General features: G+C 37.2%; 1 protein-coding gene across 1 annotated transcript in view; it reads left to right on the top strand.

Moving 5' to 3' along the window:
* TOX (thymocyte selection associated high mobility group box) overlaps positions 1-23,547 on the top strand; it is a 313,736-nt gene that overhangs the window by 156,403 nt on the left and 133,786 nt on the right. The window contains exons 2-3 of the mRNA NM_014729.3: positions 2,737-2,802; positions 23,201-23,443. Coding sequence (NP_055544.1) covers positions 2,737-2,802; positions 23,201-23,443 — 309 coding nt within the window. The remainder of the gene's footprint in view (positions 1-2,736; positions 2,803-23,200; positions 23,444-23,547) is intronic.

Genomic DNA, 23,547 nt, shown 5'->3' with positions numbered 1-23,547 from the left:
AGCCTCAACCTCCCAGGCTCAAGCAGTCCTCCCACCTTAGCCTCCCAAGTAGCTGGGACCACAGACATGTGCCACCACATTGGGCTAAGTGTCATTGAGATAATGTCATCACTCTGCTTTGATAATTTTTTGATGTTATTTTCAGAATTGATAGCTAACTTATCATTATGATTCAGAATATATTGATATGCTCTGGTGGTGAAGTGCATGGGTGGCTAAAAAGCCAGGGGTCCTGGGTTTGCATCCCAGCCCTACCTCTCACAAGCTATGTAGCTTGAAGCATCTAGCTTAACTTATCTGTGCCTTTGTATCTTCTTTCGTAAAATGTAGGTAATAATAATACCTAACTCTTGGTTTTGTGATGCTTAAATCAGTTAATACATGTAAAGATACAGGTGGCAGGAACATAAAATATACTTAAAAATATAGTTATAATGCCGATAGCCACAAGTCTTTTATGGTAAAATGCTGTTTTAGTCTTGGCTCAATATTACCTAAGTGTTGGTACTTCTTGAGGAAAGAGACTTCATCAAGAGCAGTAACACTGAATGTACTCAATTAGCGTACATGTTGGATAGACTCAACCCAAAACTTCAAAGCCTTTAGCTGGCTTGAGAACAACACCAGATTTAGAAAATGAGTTAGAGAAGATGAAATAGAAAGTAACACATTTATAGAATATGCACAAGCAGTGGAGTATTTGGTTCACTCCACTTCTTCGGTTTAGTTTGTTACAGTCAGAGAAACTGTCCATATTTTAAACGGTTCCTTGGCACCTTAACATGAAAACCATTTGCAAACAAACCAGTGTACTCCAACAGTGGGTGGAGATGAAGAAATGCACAGTGAGGCTCTTTGTTAGGTCTTGAGTTGTTAGGAGTAACAGGCAGATTGGTTGGGGCTGGCCTATCTTTGTGTTGAAAAGAATTCACCTGTTCAGCTGGGCATGGTGGCTCATGCCTGCAATCCCAGCACTTTGGGAGGCTGAGGCAGGCTTTGGGAGGCTGAGGTCAAGAGTTCAAGACCCTGCCTCTACTAAAAATACAAAAATTAGCTGGGCATGGTGGTGGGCACCTGTAGTCCCAGCTACTCAGGAGGCTGAGGCAGGAGAATCACTTGAACCTGGGAGGCGGAGATTGCAGTGAGCTGCGATCGCGCCATTTCACTCAGCCTGGGTGACAGAGTGAAACTCCATCTCAAAAAAAAAAAAAAGAGTTCACCTGTTCAATGGAAAAGCAACCTGGGGTAAGTCACTTAACTCCGGGTTCATGAGCCAGTTGACAGAGCAACCAAAACACCCAGCTTTTCTTTTTCCACTTGTACTATTTTTTATTTGCTCTAACAACCACATCTTTCAGTAAGTAATTTCATTCTGTTTAGATAAGTTGTTCACATAATGTGAAATATATTTTTAGGGTGATGTGCGAAGAAATCCTTTGATTCTCTGAGCTTAGTCTCGTGAGTGCTTCCATGTCTTTAGGGAGGTCTTTATTTACAGCTTATGTTGACGTGAATTTTCAGGGCACCCACTCTGGCAATTACAGTTTAGAGGCTGTGAGCGACCCTCATGTTGGTATAACCTTCTGCTAGCAGTTCATAGGTGGTGGAATGAGATGTCTATAGTACAATATTTTTTATGTTCTTATATAACACCATTTTTTCATAGTATATGAAGTATGTCCATAATACCATGGTTTGCACCACTATCAATAACACTATTCTGTTTCAAAAATAATAATTCAGACTTCCAATTCCCCATGTCTGAAGTTAGTCCACCAATGAAAGTATATTCAGACCCAGCTCTGTGAAGTTATTGTGTTCATCCATTTGATTATTACCTTGGAAAAATTCTTCCTCTAACTAAAAGAGAAATGCTTTGCTCATCTATCAAGTGACTAAAAATAGCTGAGGATTAAGTCTGAGTAGAGTGATGACTACTTGCAAAACCCCAAATACTGAAAAGTATTTTGTTGTTGTTATTGTTGTTGTTGCTTGAACTATTTGAGAGTTCTCCAATTGTGCTGCCCCTGCGAATTTCTTTCTTTCATCCTTTTCCTAACTTGAAAATTTGCGTATGAATTTCTATGCATTTTTAATACATAAATTCGATATCTGAAATATTTCAAAAAGGAGTATTTCATTGTGCCTGTGTATTTTTATTGTTATTATCATTCTTAGCCATGGTTGTAGTGACACATGCTCTTTTCAAATATTATTATAAAGTTAAATTTTTCTTAATCAGAAGGCTATTATGATGATGCCAGTTTTAGTCTATTATGAAAACTCTGCACTTTTTCTTTTTTGAGAGCTAAACTCAGAATGCACCGAGCTGTGCCTTCGTGTATTTTTCGTTATTCTTTTCTTTCAGAAATCATGCCATTCATTTAATACTTCATTACAACTGAACTGCAATATGTATACATGGCGTGCAAAATGAGCCATTTTGTTTTAAAACAGATTGCAGATGAAAGGAAACCATTCATTTCTTGCTTGCTTGCTGTAATTACTAGAGCACTAATTACTCCAAATCACTGACATCCAGGGTCAGTAAGGATGACAACAGAAACATCAAAGATGTGGCTCGCTTGCTGTGACAGATTTTCCATAGTCCCAGCCGCAGTATTTTTTATGGCTACTGTTTTCCAGTTTGATGGTTAAAAAACAAAACAAAACAAATAAAAACCAAACATACCCGCAGTCAAGATTGCTGAATGTTTACTATTATTTCATTCGCAGTTTGACGGTGAGAACATGTATATGAGCATGACAGAGCCGAGCCAGGACTATGTGCCAGCCAGCCAGGTGGGTTAATTAATCTTCTCTGCCTTGTTTCAAATTGTAATTAAACAAATTCAAAGAGTTGCATTGCAAATGAGTAGCACTATCAGTAACTGCCGCAATCAGGAATAATCATAATTTATAAACAAAGCATTTAAGCCTTGTTTCCAGTTAATGAGATAGAGCTGATAAAACGCCAGAGTTGGCATTTGTTGAAAGATACTACCTTGTTTCCTCTCCAGAACGTCAGGCAGCTGTTTTGCCAGCATGATCTTTCCTAAACAGTTGTTTTACCTTTAGGAAATAAAGTCTTTACAGGTGCAGGATATTTGTGCTTCTGACTGTAGATGATTTAATCATTATAAGCTACACGTGTCACAAATAGCTTTAATTATCAATGGTTGGGGCCATTTTCAACAAAACGTAACGTTCGTAACCCAAATCCCATGGCCGGTGGGGCTAGAAGGCTGCTTTCACGGTCTCCTGGGGAGGTAAGGAGTGGGGGCTGGGGAGGAGCTTTCAGGCCAAAAAACATGATATGATTGAAACCTTTCAAGGGCACCTTTGTATACATTTCACTGGGAATAGTTGACAAGGTATTTAATCATGAGAAATGACAACAAAAGTCCAATGAGAATGTAAATGGTTACACTTATAAAAGTAAATGTTTGACTATTTATTTTTAGATACTTAAGTCCAGGTCCTTTAATTCAGCAGAACATTTAAAGCCAAATTATAACTGCCCTTGGATACCAGTATAACGTAAAATATAAGAACATTGTAAGCAAAAATAAATAAACGAATAAGTGAAAGCAAGGAACAGTTCACAGGGGCATTTTGTTGACACAAACTTGTTTTTTCTAGAATGGTAAAAACCATGGTAGATTGGAATTTCATATGTTAGTAATTCTAAAATAACCTCTTAGTAATGTTCAATGCCTACATATCCACACATATAGATTTAATAACTGGGAGTGGTTGGGGAATGGGGTTGGGAGGGAGCATAAAACTTCTTTTTCTTCATTAAGGTTGTCAGTGAATTAAATCTAATGTATATGTTAAGGATGCACTCTGTGACCAAAATGTCTCATACTTAACTCAAAACAGAGGCAGGCCTGCATCTCCCTGAACTTTGCATTTAGAAGTCATTAGGATTACTGCCTTCTCTGGCAGATATTCTGGAAACTACACAGTATTGTTCAGCTGAAAAGGTCATCATGAAGTTCAAAGATCCTGACTACATTGCCTTCCATTCAACTGAGCTGTTCACTCTAAGAATACTTTTGGAAGGCTGAGCTTTGCATTTAGAATTCTTCCTTAACTGAATTCATTTGGCTAAGTAGCCTCCAAGATCCATAGGTAGTTCTGAACAGGACTGTTTGATTAAAAAATGAAAAATGTTACTATTAATTTTCTTCTAACCATCAATCCCAAAACTGTACTGACAAGTTTAGTATTACTATTAGATTAAAGCAACCTGGTATCATCTCTTTGGTGCCTTTAGGGTTTTGAAGTGTAAGGGCTAATTGAATTTGTTTGAAACAGTAGAAACACAAACTCAATAAATGATGGCTGTTATAAAGCAGCTGCTCCCTCTTAGAGAATCATTATGTCCGTCTTAAAGAGTTTTGGATAAAGGATTGGAAATTCAGAACATATACATCATAATGACTTGGCTCCTTAGATTTTAAAATTCAAGTACAATGCATAATATTAAGCCCTTACTGAAATCAAACAACTAACATTGTTTTTCTTCATATGTCAGTCAGGAGTTACTAAGAATGTTTTGGATACCAGTGATAATTTGTAAAGAAGAGCCCCAAATACTTTTGTGCTTTATAAAGATAGGGCAGGCTTGTGATCCAGAAATAAACACTTAAAAAAATAGTGTAGCATATATGAAAATGTTTTTAGAATGTGCTGTTTTAAAATTTAGACTAGTGTAAGATAATACATACTCTGGAGAAAAATAAACTTCACAAATTACATAAGTTGAATGGCCTTAGCTAAATTTTACACTTAACATTCCTTTTGTTTACTGTAATAGTGTGTGTTCAAGAATTCATTACCTGGTATTCTTTTAGGGAATTTTAATCAATTTACCCCTTTAGGCAACCATAAATAAGATTTTAGTCATCCTGCAGGGAAAAAAAAAATAGTTTTTTCCTTTTCCTACATAACATCAAACATCTGCATAGTTTAGTAATCCAAGACAACTTGCCTCATAGCATCACTCAACAATTATAATTCCTGTTCAATTTTCAAATCAGTACATGCTTTGGGACTTATAGACTAAGTTGCTAAGTAGCAACATATGGCGCACTACTGCTCCTGTGATGTTGCTGCAAGCAAATAGCATAATTCTAAACTTGAAATGATTTTTATAGAAAGCCAATGCTGGAACTGCTCCAGAAATGGAAGTACACTGTAAAAATTAATGATATTCTTTTAGACAGTCCCAAAGGGCTCTTTGGCACTATCTACTGCATGCATTCTCTACCTCTTAAGCTAGAGTATACAAATCCTTAAAATTTTTTGCATATAGTTTTGTAACTGATAGGCAGCTTTTAAATTGAATATACCACCTTATAATAAGCCTGACAAGTATATAATAAAAACTCATAAGATTTCCATTTTACTCTGGCACCATTCTTGGAATATTGACTGTTTTCTCCTATACTAGCTATAAGTGTGCTGGTCACTCAGTGCTTTAATTGAAACATCATTTAACTTTTTTCTTACTGTGGTTAGAATTGGAACCAGCAATTCAAGATTTCTTTGTGTTTCCAAACCCTGGCTAAAGGCACCTTGTTGCTTAATGCCTCCTGAACTTTGTCCCGTTAAGAGTTTGTGGGAGAAAGTGAGTGGGCTACTGAAAGGAAGCCAGATGAGCAGCTGGTCAGAAACCCACTTCTTTGCCATTCTGAACTTGTCATGTTTGATTGAGGTGACAATATCTAGACCAGAAGGATACAAAGTAGTGATATGTAGGATGAACAAGTCTAGAGATGTAACTTGCAACATGAGGACTATAGTTAATAATACAGTATTTAGGGCTGGGCGTGGTGGCTCATGCCTGTAATCCCAGCACTTTGGGAGGCTGAGGCCGAGAATCACTTGAGGTCAGGTTTGAGACCAACCTGGCCAACATGGCGAAACCCTGTCTCTACTAAAAATACAAAAATTAGCCAGGCATGGTGGTGTGTGCCTGTAATCCCAGCCACTCCAGAGTCTCCACTCCGGAGGCTGAGGCAGGAGAATCGCTTGAACCCACGAGGTGGAGGTTGCAGTGAGTTGAGATCGCACCACTGTACTTTAGCCTGGGCAACAGAGCAAGATTATATCTCAAAATAATAATAATAATATAGTATTTGGGATGTTTGCTAAGTGAGTACATTTTAGCTGTTCTTGCCACACACACACAAAATAGGTAACTGCAAGATGACGGATATGTTAATTTGCTTCACTATATTAACTGTTTTATTATCTATATGTATATCATAACATGTTGTACACCCTAAATCTATACAATAAAATGTATCTTATAAAATATCTGGACGAATATGCCAGCAGGCAGAACAAAACAGAGGGGCATTGGGCTTCCCACCTCAGCCCTGACTTTTCTCCAGAATTTTCTCAGCCCACTCAGATACGCATGCTATGGGGTTCTCTTATCTCCCGATAAAACTTCAGCCCCCTTCTCCAGCTCCTAGAATAATTGTAGTACCTTTCATAGTCCTTTATATGAGGCTGTTGTTAAGATATAAATGTTCATCTAAATTAAATACGTCAAAAGAAGCAGAAGTCTAGTTCTCTTCTTCAGAACTTTCTACAGCACTAGGTTATTTTATTTGATTTTTCAGTTTTGAAGATGTGCCATGGCTTTCCCCCATTCTTTCCTCTTCTGTGTCAGTTTCAAGAATGTCCTCTTCTGCCGGGCGTGGTTGCTCATGCCTGTAATCCCAGCACTTTGGGAGGCCGAAGTGGGCGGATCACCTGAGGTCAGGAGTTCGAGACCAGCCTGGCCAACATAGCAAAGCCCCATCTCTACTAAAAATACAAAAATTAGCTGGGCATGGTGGAGTGCACCTGTAATCCCAGCTACTCGGGAGGCTGAGGCAGGAGAATTGCTTGAACCCAGGAGGTGGAGGTTGCAGTGAGCCAAGATCACGCCACTGCACTCCAGCCAAGGTGACAGAAGGAGACTCTGTCTCAAAAAAAAAAAAAAAAAAAAGTGTCCTTTTCCACGGCTGCCTGTTTGTTCATTCTGTGTTTTCCACCAGTGCCCTGGACTCAGGGACTCAGCTCTTCACATGCCTGCCTCAGTTGAAGTACTGTATGAAAAGATAAAGAAGGACTGGTCTTTTTAATACAAGAAATAATCCTTTCATATTAAGGAAGAATGAGAAGATTTTCCTGGCATCAGGTTATGGAAAAGCTCAGGTTACTTGATTGAACTAGATTTTTAATAAATCACTTCCTCTTGGACCTTGGACTTTACTCTGCTAAACCATTTCCTTCTGTTTGGTTCCCCTGCCTTGCTTCCTTCATTCCCTCCCTCCTTCCCCACCACCTTCCTGCTTTTATTCCTTTCTTCCTTCTTCTTTCCGTGAACGGTTATCCCTTAAGCTTGAACTATTTTTTGTTGTTCATTATGAGCATTATAGTAAACCCTAAATATTAAATATCCTGGCCCGAGATCATATTTTAGAGGATTCTGAGATTGTGAGCAGTTTTCTCTCTCCCGACCCCCAGCACCCTCTGGAATTCTGTCTCTTTCTTACTTGATCCCTCAAATCTCAAGATTAAAAATAAGAATGATAAAATATAGCAATATTATGTTTTCCTGGAATCAGTTACAACTAAGCATTTGACATACAGTTCCTAAAGTACATTTTGAATATAAAATTGAAGAGCATGTATATATCCAGGACAGCTTTCATGTGAATTTAAGGTTTGATTTCTACCTCCACTGGGCCCCTGTTGCTGATAGCAGCTCAAATTCAACATATTAGTTCATCAAACCACAACTCATCACCTCCCACCTGCTTCCTCACCCACTATCTTCTCTTTTTTCTTTATGGCTTATAATCAGAAGTGTTAACACCACCTGTTCAAACACCCAAAACAGAGACTTGGGGAGTCTCCCTTGTCATTCTGCCTTTGGTTAATTCCAAATAGTGTTGATTCTACTTTTTGGCCTAACTCTTGAGTCCAGAGAGTGTTGATTCTACTTTTTGGCCTAACTCTTGAGTACATCTCCTCTTTTCCAGCTACACAATTTCTGCCTTTGTTATAGGACTCACAGTTTCTCATGAACTCATCTTACCTTCTCTCATTTCCTTTTCCTCATCTTTGCTGCCTCACCATTGTCTACAAGGCTGCTTTATCATGGTGTGTATTTGTCCCTGGGTGGCACATGGCACACTGACATCACCAGGAATGTCCTTGTCTTGCTCACCTGATTGTGAGCTCTTGAAGGTAGGACTCATTCTTGTTTCTGTCTGGCTCTCCTGTGCCTGGAATAATGTCTGACATATCAGAGGTATGCTGCATTGTTTGTTGAAAGATAAGCAAATCAACTAAAATATTTTATGTACATTTTTTAATCACATGAATACTTAGAGTCTTCCATTGCAACGATTCAATTCTTGACCCTGCATTGCAGACATTTAGCAAATCCAGCCCTGCCCTGTCCATTGCAGTAGGAACCTTTATCTTTGTGTCAGTGCCCTTATATATTAACAGAAGGTTATAGCACTCCCTCCTCCTTGGAGAATTATTTCAAGTACAAGACTCAAAGAGTTAACATGATAATAAACTAGATAATGACAGTCAATGCTTATTACAATAACATCATGCTGTTGTTTATCATCAGCAATGCAATGGTATTGGAAACAGTAGTGTGCTCCAAATTTCTTTTTGTACAATATTCTCTCAAATCTACTGTTAGAATTATGTTTTAAGATTTACAAAGAAATTAATGACTCTCTATTTGTTTAATTTCATGTTTTCCTAACGAGAAAATTCTCCAGGTTAGAGTATAAATGAGGTATGACAAAAAGGGCCTAGAAAGTATATTTTTAGAATACTTTCAAAAAAAAAAGGTATCTTTACTGTGGGCCATAACGTCTCCATGTTGATTGTGACATAAATTTGAACTGTAAATTAAACCAATTCCTTTTGGATTAGTTCCTTTTGGCAGAAATTTCAGAAGTAACATTAACTTGACTTTTTGACCATTGACCCAATAGAATGATAAAGCTGCCATGCTCTGAGTAATCGAGTTAGCCCAACAAAGTCTGGCATCTTAACAAGCCCAGACTAGTTACTCAAACCAGTCTTCAGTGTAACATTCAAATGATTACTCTGTGCAGTCCCGGAGGTATTCATTACAGACAAAATTGCTCTTGTTGCCTTGCATACAAGCTGAGTTTTCAATGGGAAATGAAAGGATGCCTGGAAAAATAGGCCACCTAATTAAGTTAAACTACTCTAGCATTTGGCTTGACATCTTCATTACTCAAAATTAAAAAGATGCTTCACTTGAGCACACAAGTTACTATTGTTTATGTTGTTTTCTTCCTAAATTGGCTTCTTACATGGAAGTCTGTTTTTCAGCATTATATCTTGAAATAGCTCACATATTTCTTACAGTTTATAAAAATGTCTTAAGAGCTGTATGGATACTGAATACAGGCACCATACAAATATATATCTTAGGGCTTGGGATAGTCAAACACACATTGGCCTTTCTGCTTATTTTGTTGGCCAACCACATTGATGTTGTTGAACTTTAGGTAATTCTTGACCCATCCAGCCTTTATTATTATTATTTATTATTATTATTTTAGTTGGGTATTGACTCCATTAGCTAAAATGATCATCTACATGAAAATATGAATTCCTAAAAAAAAAGTAAATAGGCCATAATATTTAAACTGAAATTCATTTGTCCAGGAAAAGTGTTTTATATCAACCTCGCCAGCGGATGAGCTATTTTAGGAACATTTTAAAACATAAACACATGTAGAGCACACCATCTACTGATTGCCAGTTTCTACTCATTGACACTAATGAGGCTGCTGATGGGTTAAATGTTGTGTATCATATACATTTCCAAGCTGTGGGATTTGTGAATATAAGGTTCATTTTTTATTTGTTTCTGGGTAGGTGTGAGAATTTTAGAATAAATGTCAAATAGTATGTTTTGTCAAGTATTAGGGAAATGTATTTCAGTGACAAAAATCATGAAAATATCTGAATGGAATAGCATTAGTGGTAAAAACAGATTCTCAAAACCTTGCACTCCATATGGAGCATGGTTTATTCAATAGACAGATGTCAAGTGATGCCAGCATATTTAGGCATTGGAGGGAGGAGTTGTAGCACTACTGCAGTCTGACCAGTTGTGTGGTAGCATTTGATAAATTTTGAAAGCAGCCATTTGGCTTGTTTACAATTATATTTTGAACTATTTTCTTCTTTAGCATGTGAACAATTATTAAAAACTAAATGATCCTTCCTGTTAAATTTTGCAATTATAACATGTTGTATTCTTTTCTGGTAGCGCATAATAAACCTGTCACTAAAGAATGCCCTCCAAAATAAGTATAATACTTCAATTTAAGAATAGTAATGTGTTGAATAATGTCACCTGTCTATGCTAGTTCCATTTCCAAGGTGCTTAAAGATTGTTCTAAAGAAACACTAAATTTTCAATATGTCATTATGTTAAGTAGAAGCAGTTTTGCCCATTTTTACTATAAAAAACAGTGGGGCTTAGAAAAGCTAAGGTGTTTTCCACCTACCCCAGTGTCTTCTGAGACCTCCTCCTGTGTATCCTCACCTGCCACTTCAAACACCTTTAAAAAAGTGCCAAGTTTCCCTCTGCAGTTTCAGTTCCTCAGTTTGGGAGCAGACCTAGCTAGACTTCCCAGAAACACAAAGAGGGTTTTAGTGTAATCTTCGTCCATATCTGTATTTTTTCTTTCTCCTGTGTTCTTTCTGATCTATATTATTTTACAGTTTGAGTGTTTAAAAATGTAACTATAACCCTAATGATTTGAAATTAATTGGTGGCTATCTTAGAAAATGTTCTCCCTACATCCTTTGCTGTTCTTAAATTAGGATATTTGATGCTGTCAGTAGCAAAGCCAAACAAGTGACTTCCAAGGCCCAGCATCAGATTATTCAAATGTGATAGCCTGATCTGAAATTCCCAAGGGTTCCGATGGTCATGATTTAAGACCAGTAACGAAGGCTTTCCTGTTTGCAACTGGGCCTCCCAGCATTTCAGGGGAGGCCTTCCTTCAAGAAGAGCTAAGCCTACTGTTTGTTGTTGTTCTCCAAAATCACAAAGAGAGTAACCTTGGAGGAAATGGGAGTGGGGGAAAATAGGGATGCCAGGTGAGACCGGGTCAACAGAAATTGCCTTCAAGGAAGCCTGGACTTCCCTGTACTATGGGTGCAAAGTTTTTTTTTTATTTCTTGTGCTCTGACCTCAATGAAACTTCTTGCTTTGAAAGATGATGATAAATTTCAGTAGTAGGAAGCTTCTTCTTGCCTGGAAGTTTAGGTCAGTACCCTCCTCCCCCAGTGTCCTGAAATAATTAGATTTATAATAATAATAGCTCTCAGTTGGAAGCTACCTGTTTCTGACAAGGAACTAAACAAAATCTATGCACTTATTTTTTCATTTGATCCTTACAACAATTCAGTGAGGATTAGAGAGGTAGAGTGACTTAACCAGACCTCAAAAAGATAGTAAATATTAGAGCTAGGATTCTGACCTTGGAAGGTCTAAGGCTTCTGTCAAACTCCATCCTTGGTCAGCTAGGCTTAATTTTATTTTAGAACTTTAAGGACAAAATGTTGACATACTTCAATTCTAGAGTATTGAGATAACGGCAATGTGTTACGTGTGTGAGAATACTCTGGGAAATATTAGCTTACGCCAAATGAAATCATGGCTATTTTACCATTTCTTAGTTACAAAGCAGTAATTTCATACTTGTGCACATATAAAAGCTGAACAATCACACAGTGGATATTTGCTGTCCCTGGATTCCTTGATGCAGAGCAGTGATTCCTCCCTCCCCTTGTCAGCCAGCTTTTGCCATGCCTGCACCACCGCTGCCCAGTCCTTTCCCTCCACACTCCACTACTTTTCTTGTCCAAGTCCAGGACTCTTTTCCCACCCAAGTTCTCTTCCTTTTCCCCTCCAGAAGATAAACTACAGGAAGTCTTTCCACAGAAGACATCTCACCCTCCCTCCACTCTTTCCTAGAAATCCCACTTCTGGGGAACTGAACATCGAGGGTTCTTATCGTCATTAAACTGGGGGAAATTGTCTTCATTTTTTCAACTATTTTTTTCCACATCCCTATCTTCAGCATAAGCTTTCTTTGTAGGAAAGATCTAGCAAGTGAGATGACCTCCAGTATTTAGAGAGATGCACTTACAATTCTTCCCTGGGAGTAGGATTGCATATCAGCATGTGATGAGTAGAAATGGGAGCTTCTTTTTCTCTTTTCTGGACCCCTTGATTGAGGAGGCAAACCAAGAGCACAGGCTTTCTGTTAGCTCTGGTCCTCCGCTAATTTGGCTTCTTTATGCAGAATGTGAGTTTGCACCCAGCATTTGTTGATTTCTACTCAAGAGACAAAATAAAAATGATTGGCCATAAATAGACACGTACAGCATGTATTTTTATATGTATATATGAACTATACACATGTAATTGTATATTACACGTGTATATGAACTATACACATGTAATTGTATATTACACGTGTATATGAACTATACACATGTAATTGTATATTACACGTGTATATGAACTATACACATGTAATTGTATATTACACGTGTATATGAACTATACACATGTAATTGTATATTACACGTGTATATGAACTATACACATGTAATTGTATATTACACGTGTATATGAACTATACACATGTAATTGTATATTACACGTGTATATGAACTATACACATGTAATTGTATATTACACGTGTATATGAACTATACACATGTAATTGTATATTACACGTGTATATGAACTATACACATGTAATTGTATATTATATGTGTATATGAAATATACACATATAAAAATATATATATTTTATATACATATAGAAAGAGCCCAACACTGAATGCTCAACTCCATGCTGGTTGCCTGCATATGGCTTAGCAAATAGAACCTAGCCATAAGCAAAAATCAATTTAACACATTTCTTTTAAAAAATAAAAATTTATTAAAACTTAAAGGCTGCACATGATTTAAAATAGTATATTAAAACCTAATAAATTGCAATCAATTGTTAACAGTAAAAAATATCTATTTAATTTTTTTTGGGATTCTCATCTGCCCAACTAGTTCTATAAATGCAGGCAAATAATTTAACCTCTCTGGACCTCATTTTTCTCATATGCAAAGTTCAGGGACGATTTCTTAGGTTTCTTCTTGAGCAAGCATTCTATGATTCCATTTGAGCATAAGTAGAGAACTATAGAATGTTATCCTAAGGAAATAAGTGGATTAAGTTATTTGTCATGGTGTGGTTTGCAACAGCAATATCCGAAACATCCTAAATGTTCAAAATAGAGAACTGATAGAATAAATGAAAGAACATGAATGCAATGCAATATGCAACCATTTAAACACTAATGTTGATAATATTTATTGGCATGGAAAATTATTCACAGTCCATTTTAAGTCATCACATTAAGTGATAATAAAAATATAGCTAACATTTATTGATTGCTTCTTTGAACCAGTGTATTACTCAAAGTATTTACATGATCTCATTTGTCTTATTTAATCCTGATATATCCTTAATGAATTGGAGACTATCATCATCCCTATTTTATAGCTTTGGAAACTGAGGCTTAGAGAAATTAAGTAAATACATCTACTAAGGGATGAGCTGAGATCTGTATTCAGCATTTCCAGCTCCAAAATCCAAGCTCAATTATCTGACTTTTGTTATGGAAAACAAAAACAAAAGCTCAAAACCAACTAGCAAATATGCACTAAAAAGAATCTCGAAAGACACACATTTTAATGTTTTGCTCCTGAGTGGTTGGATTAAAGGTGATTTTTTTTTCCTATGTATATTTTCTAATTTTTTTAAGCTAGTTAACATGGGTTATTTATAAAATAAAGCCAAAAAATATAGAACTGGATCTCAGAATGTACGAACTCAATATGAGAATTGAAAAAGTCTAGATGACTAAAAAAAATAGATTGCATTATGTATAAAATTATATGCTGAATGATGAAATTAAATACTTCAGTTACCCCTTTAAACATTGAATATGGAAGATGATCTAGCACTAAAAAACATGTCCTGACTAACTTTCAGAAGTGGCTCCTTTCACTTGAATCTGGTCTCTCTAATGATTTGTTTATGGTTTGGAGGGGGAGTACATTATTTGTTTTCCAAAAGCTTGGGGATTTTTTTAGCCAAAGGAGAGGCCCTTATTTATGACAATTACGTACAATGCCTGGTATGAAAATTCCCCCTAAAAATACTGCTTGGAGACTTATGTAGACCCCCAAGCAATACTGAGAGGAGACAAATCCCTTCCCCATTCTGGTATCATTAATGAATTATGGCGGGAGAAAGCCCTGCATGTAAACACTAAGGACTTTCCTGGAAGTATGTGGAGAGAGAGGCAGATAGTATTAGGGCTACCCTGCCCCACCCTCATTTGATCTGCTTCAGGTGCTTAGCCCAGGGTTCCAGTAATCCCTGAATCCTCAAAGCCTCAGCTGGCAAACCCTGACCTCAGGGTCCCCCAGCCCAGGTCCCAGGAAGAGCCAGTGTCAGACATTCTCTGGGGCAGGTTCAAGTTGACCTCGTGTTCTGGTGTCACTCCGGCTTTGCACACTGGCTTTTCATAAGTGAAATTTTACCTTACTCCCCAGTTCCAGAAGAGGCCTGCATTGAGCCTAGTAGCCTGAAGTTTGCTTTGATTGGTGGGACCAGTCTTGCCCTTGACCTTATCTTAGAGGTTGAAGGCCTGACCTTGCTGTTGAACCTGCATGCTATTGCCTGGACAGCAGCCTGGACAGTAGCCTGGACTTGCTCATTTGTCAGTTTTGTGGTCCTCCCCTGATCACTTATCGCATCTTGGCAGAAGTGTCTGATCTTTAGGCCCTGATATCAGTGTAAATCTGCTTATAGCAATCCCTTGATCATCCCAGCTTCAAGTAATTCTTTTTGTTTACACTCTGATATCACTTAGTTTGACACTTCAAATATACTGTTCTTTATTGAGAGCCTAAGTTCCCATTTCTCTCTTCTAATTCACTATCTTTATAACAAACTGTGTCTTTTTTTTCCTAGTATAGAGAGATTTTTATTGGACTTATGCAAATAACCATATCGCCATAAGAACACTCACAGTTTTTGAATTCTGGAGGAATTAAGTAATGTAATAAAACATTTTTATCTTTGTTTATAAAATTATACTTTACCAAATTGCTGTAAATTACATATAGCTGAAGAGAGAAAATTTTCTTAAATCTAGAAGACAAAACATTTGAATAAAGGACCAACAATATTTTAAATAAAAGTATAAAAACCTGATCTTGATCAGTTATTCAATCTCATATAATCAACTTTTGTTCTGCTTAATCTCTGAGTCATTTCATGACTCCATCAAATTCTTTATGAGAGTTCTAGAAATTTTATGTAGCCTATGGATCTTAAAATTATCTGAAATTTGTATTGAAGAGAACTTGGAGTCTTTCTCATGAATCTGATTGTAAATGTTTTTAGAGAAGAATAAAAAACAATAATGCTACATGACTAAAACTTAGAATAGCATGGTTAAAAAGCTGATGAAAGCTTACAATTGACAAATATTCAATTCTTTTTATTATATATAACATTTTAAGATAACCAGGTTTATGACTGACAACACACTGAATTTCTATAAATTTATATGATTTTTGAAACATGTACATCAACAAATACCCATAAATGCAACTAAAAGAAGATCTAGTATCACCTATAATTTGCCAGTGTTTCTTACGCAATTTTATAAATAAGCCTGATTCTTTAAATCTTTACAAAATGAGAGCTATATCTTTTGATGTTTTTCACAAACTGTGTCTTTCGGTTCTTTGTATCTCAGATCACTCTTTGCAGGATGCTTACACATAGTAGGTATATGACAATGCTTCTGTAACAAATGAGGCACTCATTGCTTTTTATTTAACACCAGTTAAAAAAATTAATGAGCACAAATAAATGTCATACTTTCTACCAAAAATTTCATTTTGATAACTGTTGCTTGAAAAATTAGTACATTGTGTGTTTTTAAATGAAGATGATTTATTGCTATTGTCTAAAGCATGAAGAAAGACAAAAAAATTGTTTGCAGGATCATTGGCTTGAGCATATATCAATGGCACTGTTGGACAATTCTTGCTGAGCGTTAAGATGATTTATGGAACAGACCGAAGCTTTCCACAGTAATACATTATAGTCCCAAGCTATCAACCCTTGTTCATGCAGAGACAAAAGAATCTGAAAAATACTTACTCCTGAAGGTCTTCTCAAAAGAAATCAGAGATTATATTGACACAATTTAAACTCTTTCAGGAAAAATCACCATTACATGTAATATCTTTACTTCTAAAAATGTACAGAGGAAGCTTATTATTTTTCTAATAAACTTCTCAGTTTAATTTGCTTTCCCTTCAGTTCTCTGAATCATGCAACAGGAATGTTTAATAATAGAAGATGAAACATGTTTAAACATTGGCATTCTTCTATCCTTAAGTTTCAGGAATTATGTTACAGATTAAAAATTAGTGCATTATGTATATGTTTGATGGCAGTACTATTTATTTATCTTTCAAATACAGTTCTATATGAGAAACATATTTGACAAAGTTATAACCATAGCCATATTTTTAGTGTATGCATGATTGCATGAATCCATCACATAATTTAAAGATACATACGAGATGATATCTTTTGAATTCTTCTGAGTTATGGGACTTCTTGTCACCAAAGATAAAGTGCTCTGTATAATGATTGCAATATGTGGACAGAGACTCACAAATACAATGCCTCTCTGGTAGAGAAACTAGATTTTGAAAAGAGAAGAAAAGGCAACGTTTAAAAGAGATTTCCCATTATTTATTCCTGGTTAGCATATATTAACACTCTCTCTGGGCCGTATGAAAACATGAATTCTCTGTAGTCAAAAGAAAAGTCAGCATAATTAACATTCCATTTCCAGATGTTGTCATATAGAATAAGAATATAGGAACTGGCTGTAGCAAAAGGAAATGTGGACTGCAGAAGAGAAAATAATGTAAACAGGATACTCAGATCATGGAACATGTAAAGCAGTATGATTAAAAAGGAATGTGAGTATGTCATTAAACAGGCAGGGGAAATGAGATCTCCCAGAATCAGGTGAGAAGTTTCCTTTTCTACTGAAATGGGAGTCTGGGAAGGTTGGACTTCAGGGAAGGACTTTGGCTTTAGTGAAATGGCTGAAAAGGCATCCAAGCAGATCAAACCAAAGCAAATCAGAAGGATCCACTATTACTTTCCCAATCTCAGTCTCTTGATTCCATTAATAGTCTCAAAAGTGAGCCTCTAATTAGCAATTTGACCTCCTTGCCAAGAATTGCCCAGAGAAGTTCGCTTTTCTAAGGACACAGCCAGTATGTTAGAAAGTATAGCTTTTGTACAAATTTAGACAGTGACATTCTGGTTCAGAAATTCATTCGCCTTTTAGTTGGGTTGGTAGGAGTTGAACTGTGAGAACCAGATCAGCCAGAGCTGCAGGCCCACCAGCAGAGCTCCCCGAAGGAGCAAAGTTGTTGGGCCTCTGCACATGCAGTAATTCTTGGCACCTTCCACTTCCTTTGCCACCCTGTTCCCCACCATCTTTTTATTCCTTAACTTAAAAAGTGCAATTTAATTCCGTTAGAATAAAGGTGAAGCCTTAACCTAGCTATTTATGGGGAGCAAATAAATAAATACATTAGGTATGAACGGGTTTACACTTTTCTCCACTATGAGGCCTAATCAATGGCAAATATACTGAAATTCCTTTATAATGACATTGTGGAGAATGGATCTAAATCTTCTGTACTGTCTACAGTTGTTTGTTTTGTTGGACATGACCCAACCCATGGCATGTATAAATCCGTTTAACAGTAACCGTAGCTATATAAAGCCATTGTTTATCCAGAACTTTGTATCTGGCAAACACATATTATTAGGCTTTTTACATATGTTTTTGTTTTTAATGCTTATAAGAACCCCGTGGTTTTTAAGCTTGCTGCAGAACCCAAATTAATATGTGGTTTAAAGGACTTGGAAGCAGACCTTGTCCATTGGGCTTCAAAGCCTCAATTCTTGGCAACATGCACAGTGGCCATTCTTAACAGTCACTGAAGAAGTCATGCGTATTCTCGCCTAGTCCAACATCTGTCTCCTTCTCATCAGAGAAAGATGTAGCACTTTATAAGCTAAATGTGCGATTACCAAATTTTAAGGTTTTAAGAAAATGACTTGAAATAGTAATTGACTCTCTATTATAGAACCATAGAAATACTCTTGAGGTTGGTAATATTTTGAAATTACTACTTTAATGCTCCCAACAGTTCCCTTGTGGGCTTGAAAAGTTCATCTATTTTCCAGAATTAACCATGCCTCATGGTAGTTCACTCCACTCTAACCCACATTCAGTGGCGCTGGGATCCTGCTTCCCATCCGCAGAGTGATGCACAGTGCCTCTTGCGCTGGAACACAAGAGTCCTGTTGCGTAGCTCAGCACTAGCAACACCTCGCGACTCTCTTGTGTCTTGAACCAGGGAGTAGCTTAAGATCAGGGAGAAGCTGGTTAAGTAACAGTAATATAATTTTGAGTTCTTTGAATCATGTGCATCATTTAGACTGCCTCTGGTTTAGAACAAATCACTCTGTATGCTAATATGTTTCCAATTTACCTTGAGTTAATATGGTGAAGATTCAAGATAAAATTAAAAGTGTTGGCCTGATTTTCACCCTGTAGTCCCTAAATACTTTTTCTCCATTTGTGTAAGATGGTCATTGCTGACTTTCAGCATTGGTTGGGGAAGAGGGAGCTCGCATGGTTCATGCTGCTGTTCAGGTTCCAATCTCTGAACTGGGATGGGTACATGTCACTATAAAATGTGATGAAGAAGATGATACCACCTTTGAAAATCTATACCTGGCCTCCCTCAGCATTCTAGACTGGAACCCAGACTCATAGGACTTCCAAGGACATGTGATTCACTCCTTGGTGGCCTCTAATTTGTTTGTTTTTTTTTTTTTTTAGAAAAAAAAAAAAGTAGTCCTCTTGTCTCCTGGGCATCTGGGGATCATCTTGGAAAGGACCAAGTGATCTTTGTTCCCAAGAGAGTTGGAGAATGAATGATCTGTAAACTCCAGGCCTCACTGAGTCTTGAGGGAGGGAAATAAGCCCAAGTCAGAAAAGGAACCTGCTGGAATAAGTGGACATGTGTACCAGGTCCCCTGTATCACCCAGGCATGGCCTTCACATAAGCCTTCTCTGACAATTCAGCCCCTGATCTCATCACTCATATACCTTCTTGTGGTCTAATCAGGGCTTCTCTTCTGGCCAGGCATGGGCATCAGAACTGCTGCTGTGACTTCCTTCACGTGCCCCAGCAGTCACCCAAGGGGCCCTGATATCCTACCTGCCATGGGGGTTAGGCTCCATAGCTTCTGAGAGCCAGAGGGCCACAAACTCTCCTTTACGAATCCTCTGAAATCTCTGTGTCACTATGGGATAGGAGGTACCAGTCACTTCAGGGGATCAGAGCAGCAGTCAGAGAGGAATTATATTGGTCACTTTTGCATTGTAATAAAGGAATACCTGAGACTGGGTGATTTACAAAGAAAAGATGTTTAGGTGGCTCACAGTTCTGCAGGCTGTTACAAGCATCACACCAGCATCTGCTCAACTTCTGGTGAGGCTTCAGGAAACTTCTACTGGTGGTGGAAGGTGAAGGGGGAGCAGATGTGTTACATGGTGAGAGAAGAAGCAAGAGAGATGGGAGGAGGCACCAGTCTCTTTTTAACAATTGGATCTGTGTGAGCAAGCAAGAACTCACTCGTTACTTGGTGAGGAGGGAATAGGGAAAATATTGAATCATATTCTATTGTATAACATCCCCCAAAACTGCAAATTGTCTAAATTATAAAACTATTGTTAAGTTAAATGTATCTTTATTTTTTAAAAATCAAAATAAAGCTCTCATGTCATAGAAACCAATGATGAAGAATTAGCAAATTCATTTCCACATTAAAAAATAATAAGTAATTAGCCTGGCATTGAACTTGTTCTAAGTTCTGGGACATTTTGGCATTTATACAATTACCACTATACTTTTATATGGCATCAATTACACTGTAATAGGCTCATGGCAAATAAGCATATCATGATTTCTAATATAAAGAACAGAAACTACTAAGTAACCTTAGTAGTTAAAATTCTTGATCCACATAACTAGCTATTACCAGTTAAGTTGTGGAATCTGTGGTTTTGGTGTATAGTTGTCTGAATTAAATACATTAATGTGTAATTACATGAAAATAAACCATGTAGCTTAACTCAATTGCAATACAATTGTTATCACTGAATGTAAAGTGATACCAATTAAACCTTCTTTTAAACACCACAAATTAAGAATTAACTACTGAAGAAACCCTAGAGTGTAAAGTGGTGGTCTACTATAGGTGGATTATCCCTTAGTATTTTCAGAGATTTAATGGCATTCCTAAAATTAAAAACATCTTTCTCCATTATTGCTGGCATTAGTTGTGCCTTATTCAGGAGAATTTCTTTCTCTTTTCTCTTTTTTTTTTTTTTTTTGAGACAGAGTCTTGCTCTGTCACCCCACGCTGGAGTGTCGTGGCACGCTCTCAGCTCACCGCAACCTCCGCTTCCTGGGTTCAAGTAATTCTCCTGCCTCAGCCTCCCGAGTAGCTGGGACTACAGGCATGCGCCACCACACCCGGCTAATTTTTGTATTTTTAATAGAGATGGGGTTTCACCATATTGACCAGGCTGGTCTCAAACTCCTGACCTCAAGTGATCTGCCCACCTCAGCCTCCCAAAATGCTAGGATTACAGGTATGAGCCACCGCGCCCCGCCAGGAGAGTTTCAAACAGGCACTAATTAACTTCTTAAAAGATAGATGTCAACAATTCAGCATTTGCAGTGTTGACAGACAAATTATGAAATCTATGTTCATATAATTTCAGTGGGTGGGCAACGGGGTGGAATTTGGGAAAGGAAAGGCCTGATATTAATGCTAATACTATTACTTAAATTATGAAATTTTGTTTATTGGAAACAGTTGGGTGTTGGCAATTTTGTATCATTCAACCTAATAAGATAGTAGCAATTAAACTACTTTATAAATAGCATAGCAATAAAAATGCCATCTTTTATGATATATTTATCCCTCATGTGTATTGAGTTGATCTTTTCCAAGCTGAGTGAACTTGGACAAGTTATTTAATTTCTGAGTCTCAATTTTCTCTTCAGGAAACTGGGGGTAATAATAGCTACACAATGGATTACTATAATGGTTAAATGGAGGCAACATAGTCAAAGACCTTGGTACAGTGCTTTAATATGAAATAGACATCTCTCCCACCTCCCCATTAGGCATCTTTTATGCTTATATGCATACTTGTACAAGGAACCAATGGCTTAGATCTGTAAGGGTCTAAAGTATATCAGACGAGTGAGAATTTCATCAAACTTGTAATTTTGACACAGCACATACATATTTTTCACATGGGATACATATTGTTAACAGGAGAATTTGGTAACAAGTGATTGAACTTCTAGAGCTGGTGATTTTTTTAGCAGAACTTTAGATATTTAAGAAAAATTATCTGCATATAACAGTCAAATTTTTCCCTTCATACACCCCCTGTCTCTAACCTACATGTGCTGCTCTATGACCAGGTCTAAATTCCAGATGTTCCAAGTAGCTCTTCATTTAGTCTTGTCTTCTGATGGCACCTAAACAAATATATCAAAACTTGTACAACATTTAGAAAGTGGAACTTGAAGATTTTCTTTCTGTTAGACAAATAGACGCCATCTGGAAAAAATAACCCCAGGCGCTTGGACACAGGAGCATGACGCTTATTGGCTGGACACCATATGAATACCTTACACTACTTTATTTGGCTCCCACCCTTGCCTGCTCATTTCAAATCTTGCACACTTGAGCAGGCACTGGGCTGTTAGACAAGGGAATCCTTGTCACCCATACACCCAAACACTATGAAGGCTCACTCTTAATTTGAAAGATAAGCTTGCGAGAATTATCTGGACCGAAACGTTTCCTTTCATACTGTGACACCTGTTCTATGAAGGACTGCTATATATCACTGTGTATTTAATATTAATTGGTAACGATGTTTGATTTTTTATTTCTTCCATGTATTTTTCAACATTTACCACATTCCATTTCAAACAGGCATGTCCTCACATAATCTTTCCTTCCTGTTCCCCTCCCTCCCTTTCTATTTTATCTAATGCTAGTTTGTAAAAGAAAAAAAAAAACCCACATATGTTAATGCTATTTATTTTACTGCTGGCTTTTATTCCAGAATTAGTATTATAATAATATTAGTACTATTTTGTCTTTCAAAATGGACAGAACTGAATTTAAATATTTGCAATATTATTTGTCAGCTCTTAGGAGGAAATCAAGTAAATCTTATTGGAAATCATAAAAGTAATCTTCACTTTGATTTTGATGATAAGATCTTTGCGATAAAAATAGCTCTTAATGGCATTTTCTTCATATATCACACTTTCAGTGGAACTACACTTTTATGCAGCATGTTTAAGTCGCTTCTTTTCTACGACATTTTCTTTTGTCAATTGTGAGCAGGTAGCCTTTCAAAACCCAAAAGCAATTGCCCAGAACTTCTGGAATTCGTTTTTATTACATCCCATGATCTGAGCAGTAGGGAGCCCCGTGAAACATGTTTGATCAAACGTTAATTTTATAAATTGCCTTCCTTCCGTACAATTCCCATGAAAGAGGTATTCAGCTAGATTAAAACTCTGGAAAATTTTAATGGGAACTTTGAAATCTGTTTGAGTTCAGCTTTTTGGAAAAATAAAACCACCTAATGGAAGTGGTCTTTATACGAGAAGTGGATCTGCCTTTGAGGCAATTTTCTTTCATGCATAATGATGAAATGGCAGCAGGATAATCTGAAGGTTTGAAATGTCTTTGCCAAATCCATATGCTGCTTGTAATAATATCTAAAGGGTCAAGTGTTTGATATGATGATGAAGAGCAAGAAGATGATAATTTGCAACAATGTCACTTTTGTCTTTTCACAGTCCTACCCTGGTCCAAGCCTGGAAAGTGAAGACTTCAACATTCCACCAATTACTCCTCCTTCCCTCCCAGACCACTCGCTGGTGCACCTGAATGAAGTTGAGTCTGGTTACCATTCTCTGTGTCACCCCATGAACCATAATGGCCTGCTACCATTTCATCCACAAAACATGGACCTCCCTGAAATCACAGTCTCCAATATGCTGGGCCAGGATGGAACACTGCTTTCTAATTCCATTTCTGTGGTAAGAATCTGCTTACCTGTTTGTGGTGGGGGCTGAGGGATACCATAAGGACAAGGACCAAGTTCATGCGAGGGCCTGGCATTGTGATAATAGCATTCTGAAAC

This window comes from Homo sapiens, chromosome 8 (assembly GCF_000001405.40).
Source record: "Homo sapiens chromosome 8, GRCh38.p14 Primary Assembly".
NCBI lineage: Eukaryota > Metazoa > Chordata > Mammalia > Primates > Hominidae > Homo > Homo sapiens.
Note: the sequence above shows the minus strand (reverse complement) of the source record. Positions and strands in the feature narration are given on the sequence as shown.